The following is a 12,544-nucleotide window of genomic DNA, read 5'->3' as shown; positions in this document are numbered from 1 at the left end:
TATTATCCCTGAAATACGATTCCTATGGAGAAGGCAAAAAAGTTGCTTAGATCATCTCCTTTAACAACCAATTTTCAGAATTAGGAATATGTATACTAATTACCTCTTATGTTGAGAAATAAGATTTGGTTTGGTTTGGGGCTTTTGGTGTATTTTTTTCTTATTTCATGTGTTTTGCTTAATTATATTCATTATTTTTTATGCTCAAATAATCACAAATTTAATCAGTGGGAGCCGCTTCAATCTAGTTCATTTATCTTTTCAATATGCTTTCATTAACCTTTTTTCTTTTTTTCTTTTTAAACGACAAGCTCTTTTCTAAAGCCTCCATTAGTATTTGAGGATCTCCTTGCTTCTGGGAAAAAAAATAATGCACTAGAATGATTAAAAAAAAAAAAGAAAGAGAAAAAGCAAGAGAAGATAAAAAAAATACCAGTATTGGCCAGGTGTGGTGGCTCATGCCTGTATTCCCAGCATTTTGGGAGGCCAAGGTGGGCGGATCACGAGGTCAAGAGATCCAGACTATCCTAGCAAACATGATGAAACCCTGTCTCTACAAAAATACAAAAATTAGCTGGACGTGGTGGTGTGCCCCTGTAGTCCCAGCTACTCGGGAGGCTGAGGCAGGAGAATCGCTGGAATCCAGGAGGCAGAGGTTGCAGTGAGCTGAGATCGCACCACTGCACTCCAGCCTGGGCCACGGGGTGAGACTCCATCTCAAAAAAAAAAAAAAATACCAGTATCAGAGATTAAGGAGGGTTCACCACCATAGAGCCTACAGACATCTATGGTAACACAGACATCCTGGCTAGTTAAGCAGGTGTGGTGGCTCACACCTATAATCCAAGCACTTTGGGAGGCCGAGGTGGGAGGATCACTTGAGGCCAGAAGTTCGAGAGACCAGCCTGGGCAACATAGGGACACCTTGTCTCTACAAAAAATAAACAAAATTAGCCAGACGTGGTGGCTTGTGCCTGTAGTCCCAGCTACTCTGGAGGCTGAGGCAGGAGAATCACTTGAGCCCATGAAGCAGAGGTTGCAGTGAGCTGAGATCATGCCACTGCACTCCAGCCTGGGTGACAGAGCAAGACCTTGTCTTAAAAACACACACAAAAAAGGCTAGTAAGGAGATACTATGAACAGCTTTATTCCAATATATGTGTTAACACAGACGAAATGGAAAAATTCAATTTTATTGATCTTATTTCTCTTACTAACTTTATAATTTTTTAATTTTATTGATCTTTTCAAAAAACAGCTTTTGGTCTCATTCATTTTCTGTTTTTCTTTTATTATTTATATTTCTAATTAAAATGTAAAAGTTTATTTTTAGATATACAAGATAAGATATACAAGATATGGCCGGGGGCAGTGGCTCATGCCTGTAATCCCAGCACTTCGGAAGGCCAAGGTGGGCGGATCACGAGGTCAAGAAATCGAGACCATCCTGGCCAAGATGGTAAAACCCCATCTCTACTAAAAATACAAAAATTAGCCGGGCGTGGTGGCAGGCACCTATTATCCCAGCTACTCACGAGGCTGAGGCAGGAGTATCGCTTGAACCCGGGAGGTGGAAGTTGCAATGAGCCGAGATTTCGCCACTGCACTCCAGCCTGGCAGCAGAGTGAGACTCCGTCCAAAAAAAAAAAAAAAATGTATTTGCAATTCTTTTTATCTTAGAATATGTACCTATAAGGATATACCATAATTCAATATTAAAATTATCACATAAAGTAAATATTTTCTCTGTGTAGTGATACTACTTGACATAGAATTAGGTTCATTTGCTCAAATTTGTTTTCAATTTTGGGATTTTTAAAAAATATTTAAGTTAGGTTTTAATTTGGCCAGGCTCAGCAGCTCATGCCTGTATTCCCAGCACTTTGGGAGGCCAAAGCAGGAGGATTGTTCGGTCAGGAATTCAAGAGTAGCCTGGACAACATAACAAGACCCCATCTCTACAAAAAATAATTTAAAAAAAATAACCGGCCATTGTGATATGCACCTGTAGTCCTAGCTAGTAAGGAGGCTGAGGCAGGAGGATCACTTGAGCCCAGGAGTTTGAGATTACAGTGAACTATAATTATGCCACTGCACTCCAGCTTGGGCAACAGAGTCAGACCCTGCCTTTAAAAAAATAATAATATATTGGCCGGGCACGGTGGCTCATGCCTGTAATCCCAGCACTTTGGGAGTCCGAGGCAGGTGGATCACAGGGTCAGGAGATCGAGACCACCCTAGCCAACATGGTGAAACTCCGTCTCTACTAAAATACAAAAAATTAGCCGGGTGTGGTGGTGCGTGCCTGTAGTACCAGCTACTCTGGAGGCTGAGGCAGGAAAATTCCTTGAACCTGGGAGGCAGAGATTGCAGTGAGCCGAGATTGTACCACTGCTCTCCAGCCTGGCGACAGAGCAAGACTTCGTCTCAAAATAATAATAATAATAATAATTTTAAATAATGGGTAGAACATTTACATGTTTCAAAAGCCAAAACGATATAAAAGGGCATACTCAGAAGTCTCTCTTCTATTCCTGCCTTCTCACTTCCCTCCCCACCCCCTGAGTTAACTATTTTGATTAGTTTCTAGTTTATTATTCCAGCGTTACTGTTTGAAAATATCTGCCTGTATAAATAGGTACATAGATGTGTCTATGTGTGTTTATTCTTACTTCTTCTCTTTTCTCACACAAAATATAGCATACTATAAACACTGTTTGGCTGGGCGTGGTGGCTCACGCCTGTAATCCCAGCACTTTGGGAGGCTGAGACGGGCGGATCACCTGAGGTCAGGAGTTTGAGACCAGCCTGGCCAACATGGCGAAACCCTGTCCCTACTAAAAATACAAAAATTAGCTGGGCGTGGTGGCGCATGTCTGTAATCCCAGCTACTCGGGAGGCTGGGGAAGGAGAATCACTTGAACCCGGGTGGTAGAGGTTGCAGTGAGCTGAGATCGTGCCACTGCACTCCAGCCTGTGCTACGGGAGTGAGACTCCATCTCAAATAAATAAATAAATAAATAAATAAACACTGTTTTTTTTTTTGTTGTTGTTGTTTTTGAGATGGAGTCTCGAACTGTGCCCAGGCTGGAATGCAGTGGTGTGATCTCAGCTCACTGCAACCTCCGCCTCCAGGGTTCAAGAGATTCTTCTGCTTCAGCCTCCCGAGTACCTAGGATTAAAGGAGCATGCCACCTCACCCAGCTAATTTTTGTATTTTTAGTAGAGATGAGGTTTCTCCGTGTTGGCCAGGCTGGTCTCAAACTCCTGATCTCAAGTGATCTGCCCTCCTCGGCCTCCCAAAGTGCTGGGATTACAGGTGTCAGCCACCGTGCCTGATCAACACTGTTTTGCACCTTGCTTTTTAGACATAATGATACATTTTGGAAATTAATTGGTATTATTATATACTGTAGTGGGTTACATTTTTTCCCCAAAAGATGTATCCAGAACCTGAGGATACGACCTTATTTGGAATAAGAGTCTTTGCAGATGTAATTAAGGTAAGAATCTTAAGCTGGGCACTATGGCTCACGCCTGTAATCCCAACACTTTGGGAGGCCAAGGCAGGCGGATCACCTGAGGTCAGGAGTTTGAGACCAGCCTGGCTAACATGGTGAAATGCCGTCTCTACTAAAAATACAAAAATTTAGCCAGGTGTGGTGACACGCGCCTGTAATCCCAGCAACTTGGAAGGCTGAGGCAGGAGAATCACTTGAACCCGGGAGGTGGAGGTTGCAGTGAGCCGAGATGGCACCACTGAAGTCCAGCCTGGACGACAGAGCCAGACCTTGCCTCAAAAATTAAAAAAAAAAAAAAAAAAAAAGACAAGACCATTCTGGATTAATGTGAGCCCTAAATCCAGTTGGGAGTGTCCTTATAAGAGAAAAGACAGGGAGTTTTGGCTGGGTGCGGTGGCTCATGCCTGTAATCCCAGCACTTTGGGAGGCCAAGCTGGGTGGATCACAAGGTCAGGAGTTCAAGACCAGCCTGAGCAACATGGTGAAACCCCCGTCTCTACTAAAAATACAAAAATTAGCCATGGATGGTGGTGCGCACTGTAATCACAGCTACTCGGGAGGCTGAGGCGGGAGAATCGCTTGAACCCGGAAGGCAGAGGTTGCAGTGAGCCAAGATCGTGCCTCTGTACTCCAGCCTGGGTGACAGAGCAAGACTCCACCTCAAAAAAAAAAAAAAAAAAAAAAAAAGAGAGGGAGTTTTGAGACAGAGGGGAAGGCCTTGTGAAGATGGAGGTAGAGATTAGAGTGATGCAGTTATAAACTAAAGGATGCCAAGGATTGCAGGCAGCCACCAGAAGCAAGGAGAGAAGCATGGAACATATTCTCCTTCAGAGCCTCCAGAAGGAATCAACTCTGCTGATACCTTGATTTTGGTTTTCTGGCTTCCAGAACTGTGAGATAATAAAGCTCTGTTGTCTTAAGCCACCAAATTTATAGCAATTTGTTATGGCAGTCACAATAAACTAATACAGAGACCTTCCTCATGCTTTTTTTTTTTTTTTATGACTGAATAGTATCCTTCGGTGTCTGTACAATGGTTTATTCAATCAGTTTTCTATTGATGGACATGTGAATTGTTCCCAAACTTTTGTTTGTACAGATAATGCCCAGGTATAATTTACATTTGTTTCCGAGAAGTGGGATTGCTGGGTCAAAAACTGTAAATGCGTTTGTCTTTTTGCTAAATATGAGCAAATTCCCCTCCATAGGGGCTGTAATATTTTGCACTCCAACCAGCAATGAATGAGAATGCCTACTTCTCCACAGGCTCACCAACAGAGTACATTTTCAAACTTGAATTTTTGCCAATCTGATCAATAAGACATGGTATTTCAGTGTACCGATCAGTTGCATTTCCCTTATTATGAGTGAAGTTGAACATTTTTTCATGTTTGAGACTCCTTGCTTTTTTCTATGAACCCTCTGATCATGTCTTTCACTGATTTTTCTATTTGTTTTTTTCTTCTCAATTGTTAAGAACTTTTGCAACATAATTATAATTTGCAAATTTTTTGTTTCTTATATTTCTTTTGTCCATGTCTATGGTTTTTTACCATGTCCCCCCAACATTTTTTTTCAATTATTATTATTATTTTTGTTTGTTTGTTTTGAGACGGAGTCTCGATCTGTCACCCAGGCTGGAGTGCAATGGCATGATCTCGGCTCACTGCAACCTCCGCCTCCTGGGTTCAAGCGATTTTCCTGCCTCAGCCTCCTGAGTAGCTGGGATTACAGGTGCATGCCACCACGCCCAGCTAATTTTTGTACTTTTAGTAGAGATGGGGTTTCACCATGTTGGCCAGGCTGGTCTTGAACTCCTGACCTCAAGTGATCTGCCCTCCTTGGCCTCCCAAAGTGCTGGGATTACAGGTGTGAGCCACCGCACCCGGCCTTTCTTCAATTTTTAACACAAAAGGACTGTTGATGCTTCCCAGCCTAAGAAGCCTTTCTGACCTATATCCTTCTCTGAGTCTATGCTGAGCTATATTCTACTCTGATTGCTCGCCAGTGTCTGACTCCTTCTCTCTATCAGTCTTTCTCAATTAGAATCAGAGATTTTAGCTACACTATAGCTCCTATCACTCTTTTTTCTTTTTATATCTCAGATTGATTTCCTCAGAAAGCAAAGCCTGAGACAGAGGACATATATGTTGTTTCCCCATTGGGGGAGCAAAGCAGAGAAGGACGGAGAGCCAATGAAATGGTGTGTTATCAAGCTGGCCATCTTTATGTGCAATATGATTGCTCAATCTGTGGGACTGTGCCCCAGAGAAGCCCCATAAACTCTGTCTCAGGACTTCTCTAGCTGACGGAAGCAGGAGGAAGCTGGGGCAGGAGACAGGGACAACAAAGAGGAACGAATTGATTCATTGTCTCCTGTCTCTCTTGGGTGGAAATTTGCCGATTGACCCAGTCATCAAATCTAAACTTTTTTTCTTTTTTTTTTTTTGAGACAGGGTGTCACTCTGTCACCCAGGTGTGAGTGCAGTGGTGAGATAATGAAACCACCTTTGCAAAATTATGACTGAGACAGGGAATGAGATCTAAGTTTTTTTTTTTTTTTTTGAGACAGAGTCTTGCTGTCACCCAGGCTGGAGTGCAGGGGCCATCTCGGCTCACTGCAATCTCTGCCTCCTGGGTTCAAGCGATTCTCCTGCCTCAGCCTCCCGAGTAGCTGGGATTACAGGCATGCGCCACCATGCCTGGCTAATTTTGTATTTTTAGTAGAGACAGGGTTTCTCCATGTTGGCAAGGCTGGTCTCGAACCCCTGACCTCAGGTGATCCACCCGCCTCGGCCTCCCAAAGTGCTAGGATTACAGGTGCAAGCCACCACTCCTGGCCCCTCACAGGCTTCTCTAACCACAGGCTTATACAAGGGATGCATCACTTGTTTCCTTACTCTTTACTCATATTGAGAAAAGTCCTGGATTTTTAAGTCGGACAATAGAAATACAGCCGGGAGCCTGGTAAAAGAGAGTGGTTTGAGGTTCTTTTTTTGAATAAAGTGACCATAACCCTATCAGAAAACTATCATTCAATGAGTTGACCTTATTAAGAGTTTAGACTTGGCCGGGCACAGTGGCTCACACCTGGAATCCCAGCACTTTGGGAGGCCGAGGCGGGAGGATCCCTTGAGCCCAGGAGTTCGAGACCAGCCTGGGTAACATAGCAAGACCCTGTCTCTACAAAAAATAACCAGACATGGTGGAGCATGCCTGTATTCCCAGCTACTAGGAAGGCTGAGGCAAGAGGATCATTTGAGCCCGGGAGGTCGAGGCAGCAGTGAGCCATTATTGTAACTGCCCAATGGGTTCACCTTGCCTGCTGCCTAGACAGAGCCGATTCATCAAGACAGAAGAATTGCAATAGAGAAAGAGTAATTCACGCAGAGCCGGCTGTGCGGGAGACCGGAGTTTTATTATTACTCAAATTACTCAAATCAAATCGGGGAGCAGAGTTTTTAAGGACAACTTGGTGGGTGCGGGGAAGCCAGTAAGCCGAGAGTGCTGACTGGTTAGGGATGAAATCATAGGGAGTCGAAGCTGTCTTCTTGTGCTCAGTCAGTTCCTGGGTGGGGCTCACAAGATCAGATGAGCCAGTGTTTCAATCTGGGTGGTGCCAGCTGATCCGTCAAGTGCAGGGTCTGCAAAATATCTCAAGCACTGGTCTTAGGAGCAGTTTAGGGAGAGTCAGAATCTTGTAGCCTCCTGCTGCATGACTCCTAAACCATAATTTCTAATCTTGTGGCTAATGTTAGTCCTACAGAGGCAATCCAGTCCCCAAGCAACAAGGAGGTCTGCTTTGGGAAAGGGCTGTTAATCGTCTTTGTTTTAAACTATAAGCTATAGTTTAAAGTTTCTCCCAAATTTAGTTCAGCCTATGCTCAAGAATGAACAAGGACAGCTTGGAGGTTAGAGGCAAGATGGAGTAGGTGAAGTTAGATATCATTTGGTGGGCCACGGTGGCTCACTCCTGTAATCCCAGCACTTCGGGAGGCTGAGGCAGGTGTATCACCTGAGGTCAGGAGTTCGAGACCAGCCTGGCCAACATGGTGAAATCCTGTCTCTACTAAAAATACAAAAAATTAGCCGGGCATGGTGGCGTGCGCCTGTAGTCCCAGCTACTTGAGAGGCTGAGGCAGAAGAATCGTGTGAACCCAGGAGGCAGGTATTGCAGTGAGCCAAGATCACGGCACTGCACTCCAGCCTGGGTGACAGAGTATGACTCTGTATAAAAAATAAAAAGAGAAGTCTGGGAGGGGAACACTCAACACCTTGCCTTGGGGGAAGGGGACAGAGGGGGTGGCGGTGGAACATCAGCAAAGGCTCCCTGCAGAGCAGTGACTTATGACTAGGCTTGCCTTGGGTATGGAAATTTCCACCATTAGGCTTGGTCCTTTGGGTAAAGCAGTGTTTAACTGAAATCCCCATTCAGTAATTCATGATGTCATTAAAACTTTGTGGTGGATTATTTATAAATCTTCAGAGAAGGCCTCAAGGGGGATGTAGGAGATGCTTCTTGATGATGTGAGATCATTCTAAGACACTGGAGAGAGGGCAGGGATGGATGAGGCACTGCCAGGGTTTCCTGGGGAGCAACCTCTGGGGCCTCACAAAGGCTCTGAAGAGAGTGACATTGACAGAGGAAGACGGCAATGGAGAAGGAGGACAGGCAAATGTTGTCTGGTCACCTTGGTGGTCATACCTGACTGTCCTTCCCAGAGGTGACACCAACATTGTCCCCTTGAGTAGCCCAGTGCAGTAGTATCACTGTGGAGGTGTAAGAACATACACTGAAATTATACCAAGAGTTTTATGCAGGGCTTAAGGTGTTAAAACAGTGGAGGGGGGATGGGGCAAAGGGGCAGCAGGGGCAATAACTAGCAAAAATGCAAATGTGTTCACAGTTTGGCCCAGAAGTTCCACTTCTACAAATCAATTGTGAATTATTGGAAGGGTATGGTGACTCACGCCTGTAATTCCAGCACTTTGGTAAGCAGAGGCGGGGGGGAGAGGGGCAGTTTGTGAGGGGTGGTGATTGCCTGAGGCCAGGAGTTCAAGACCAGCCTGGGCAATGTAGCCAGACCCTCATCTCTACAAAAATAAACAAAAGGCAAATGTAAATTACACCTGAACAGATTTGAAGTAACATATGCACAAGGTTATTTATTGAGCTTTTTTTTTTTTTGAAGATAGGGTTTCACTCTGTTGCCCAGGCTGGAATGCAGTGGCACCATGTTGGCTCACTGCAACCTCTGCCTCCCTGTTACAAGCGATTCTTCTGCCTTAGCCTCCCAAGTACTTGGGATTACGGGCGCCTGCCACCATGCCGGGCTGATTTTTATTTTTATTTATTTATTTATTTTTTGTATCTTTGTATTTTCAGTAAAGATGGAGTTTCACCATGTTGGCCAGGCTGGTCTTGAACTTTTGACCTCATTGAACTTCTGACCTCAGGTGATTTGCCCGCCTTGGCCTCCCAAAGTGCTGGGATTACAGGCGTGAGCCACTGTGCCCTACCAGTGAGCATTATTGGTACAAACAAAAGTTTGGGAGCAATCTACATGTCAATAGGAAACTACTGAATAAACCATCCTACAGCCACACAAGGAATACTAATCAGCCACAGCTATCCCAAAACATAGATCTGTGTATTCTTGAACAAACTCTTTTGGAAACATTTAATTCCTCTAAATTAGATCAACAAGGAGGCAACACGTTCGGAGCATTAGAAGTTTTAACCTTTTTAGCACATAAATGACTGAAAAACTGCACAAATGAAAGACTCCCTCTTGCAACAACCTCTGCTTTCACTCTTCTGCGTTTTGAATGAGGAGAAACCTTAGCCTGAGCATTTCAAAGCCTTAAAGATAAATCTTAGGAAGATTTATTTTATTTTATTTTTAGAGGCAGGGTCTCCCTCTGTTTTCCAGCCTCAATATCCTGGGCTCAAGTGTTCCTCCTGTCTCAGCCTCCCAAGTAGTTGAGACTATAGGTGCACACCACCACTCTTAGCTAATTTTTTTTTTTGAAACTGGGTTTCACTATGTTGCTCAGGCTCCTGGTCTCAAGGGATCCTTCTGCCTCGACCTCTCAAAGTGCTGGGATTACAGGTGTGAGCCACCATGTCTGGCCTGAAAGGTATTTCTCAGAAGTGACTCTAACTCCATAATATCACAACCTGCTACACTGAGGGAGGAAAGTCATAGATTAAAATATGATACTTAGAAACGCAGGACCATAAGAATTGAAAACTTGCAAAAATTGAGAAAATTAGAGTTCATCATCTTAAGAATTTAAGTAATTTGGGTATACACCCCAGAACTCCAGCTATTTCAGGATTTCAGAGTATAATATGTGTATTCTCAAGAAGACCTTGAGATGTTTTCAAAACAGCAGATGCATAAATTCCTTTTAAAGGGTAAAGAATAAATGTTTTGAAAGGGGAGAACTACAAAAATCTTCAGAGAAATCTAGTTTGAAAAGTCCTCAAAAAATGGGTCTCTATTTTCTAAAAAATAACTTGTGCATTGTAAGAAATATATATTATTTTATATTTAAATGGAGGCTTTACTTTGGTAAAGTTATTATACACTTAAAAAACTTATAAGTAGTGTTGAAGATAAAACCAGTTATCAAATCAAAGGACAATAAACACTTCTCCATGTTAAGACTTAATTCTAGGCTGGGCGCAGTGGCTCTCACCTGTAGTCCCAGCACTTTGGGAGACGGAGACAGGAGATTCTCTTGAGTCCAGGGGTTCAAGACCAGCCTGGGTTACAGAGGGAGACCCCTGTCTCTACAAAAAATACAAAAATTAGCTGGGCGTGGTGGTGCACACTTGTAGCTCCAGCTACTAGGGAGGCTGAGGTGGGAGGATTGCTTGAGCCCAGGAATTTGAGGCTGCCTGGGCAATAGAGGGAGACCCTGACTCTTTAAAACACATACACACACACACACACACACACACACACACACACACAAACTAAAAAAAAAACAAACCTTTTTTTTTTTCACTGCATGGAAAGGAAATAATCTTATTTTGGGGTCTGGCTGCTATACTAGTGTATCATTTGATTAGGCTTATAGAATTGCTTTTTTTTTTGAGAGAGAGAAAGATGGGATCTCACTTTGGCTCTGTCGTGCAGGCTGGAGTGCAATGACATGATCACATTTCACTGTAACCTCCCAACTTCCAGGCTCCAGTGATCCTCCCACCTCAGCCTCCCGAATAGCTGGAACTACAGGCATGTGCCACCACGTCTGGATAATTTTTAAAAATTTTGGCTGGGCACAGTGGCTCACGCCTGTAATCCCAGCACTTTGGGAGGCCGAGGCAAGCGGATCACCTGAGGTCAGGAGTTCGAGACCAGCCTGGCCAACATGGTGAAACCTCGTCTCTACTAAAAATACAAAAATTAGCCGGGTGTGGTGGCACGTGCCTGTAATCTCAGCTACTTGGGAGGCTGAGACAGGAGAATTGCTGGAACCTGGGAGGTGGAGGTTGCAGTGAGCCGCGATCATGCCATTGCACTCCAGTCCGGGCTGACAACAGCAAGACTTCGTCTCAAAAAAAAGTTTTTTTTGTAGAGAAAGGGTCCTGCCAAGTTGCCCAGGCTGGTCTCCAACTCCTGGGCTCAAGCGATCCTCTTGTCTCGGCCTCCCAAAGTGCTGGGATCACAGGTGTGAGCCACTGTGCCCTGCTTAGAGTCGCTATTATGCTCAGAATATGCAAGTATTGGCCAGGCGTGCTGGCTCATGCCTGTAATCCTAGCACTTTGGGAGGCCGAAGTGGGTGGATAGCTTTGAGCTCAAGAGTTCGAAAATATGCAGGTATAATTTTCTTAGGCACCAAGATTATACAGTGTCTAGCTGTATAATAAAATTAGTTTCTGCTTTGTTTTGTTTTGCTTTGCTTTTAGACATTAAGCTTAATGTAGGAAATAAATGGAATAAAATAAATAGTGTTTGGAATGACTAGGACATCAGTTATTGTTTTGCTTTTATATTGTACTTGGACATCCAGTTAAGGCTTCTTAGGAGATGCCCTGTTTTGAACTCTTAAAAGAATAAAAACACTCCCACATATGGCTGTGCTAACATATGGTCTCTCTAATGACAGAACAAACAAGACACCTACTCATCTTAAACAAATTTTAGCATAAGACACGAACAAATGATCCATTAATGCTGAATATTTCTGGGGACATTCCAATGGGAAATGAAGATTTATATGCATCAGGTTGGATGGGCACCCAAAAAATGTTGACGTGGAAGTGAGAAAACATAATCTGACAAGGATGTATGCTATTCGGGAGTTAACTAAATGTTATCGGAAATTATAAGCATGGAACTTTGGGATGATATTCAGAGAGGTTTGGTATTTTTTTGTTTGTTTGTTTGTTTGTTTGTTTTTGTTTTGTTTTGAGACAGTTTTGCTCTTGTTGCCCAGGCTGGAGTGCTGTGGCACGATCTTGGCTCACCGCAACCTCCGCCTCCTGGGTTCAAGCGATTCTCCTGCCTCCGCCTTCCTGAGTAGCTGGGATTACAGGCATGTGCCACCACACCAGGCTAATTTTGTATTTTTAGTAGAGATGGGGGTTTCTCAACGTTGGTCAGGCTGGTCTCAAACTCCTGACCTCAGATGATCCGCCCACCTCAGCCTCCCAACGTGCTGGGATTACAGGCGTGAGCCACCGTGCCCAGCTGAGGTTTGGTATTTTTTATCAAAGGAGAATGAACATAAACACACTTAACCTGGCACTCAAAAGCTGTTAGCCTCCCCTCCGCTTTCTTTTTTTCTTTTTCCTTATTTATTTTTTGAGACAGAGCCTCACTCTGTGGCCCAGGCTGGAGTGAGGTGGCACAATCTCGGCTCACTGAAACCTCCACTTCCCAGGTTCAAGTGATTCTCCTGCCTCAGCCTCTCGAGTAGCTGGGATTACAGGGGTGTGCCAGCACACCCGGCTAATTTGTGTACTTTTAGTAGAGAGGGCGTTTCACCATGTTGGCCAAGCTGGTCT

The sequence above is a fragment of the Homo sapiens genome, chromosome X, assembly GCF_000001405.40.
Source record: "Homo sapiens chromosome X, GRCh38.p14 Primary Assembly".
NCBI classification, from domain to species: Eukaryota; Metazoa; Chordata; class Mammalia; order Primates; family Hominidae; genus Homo; species Homo sapiens.
Note: the sequence above shows the minus strand (reverse complement) of the source record.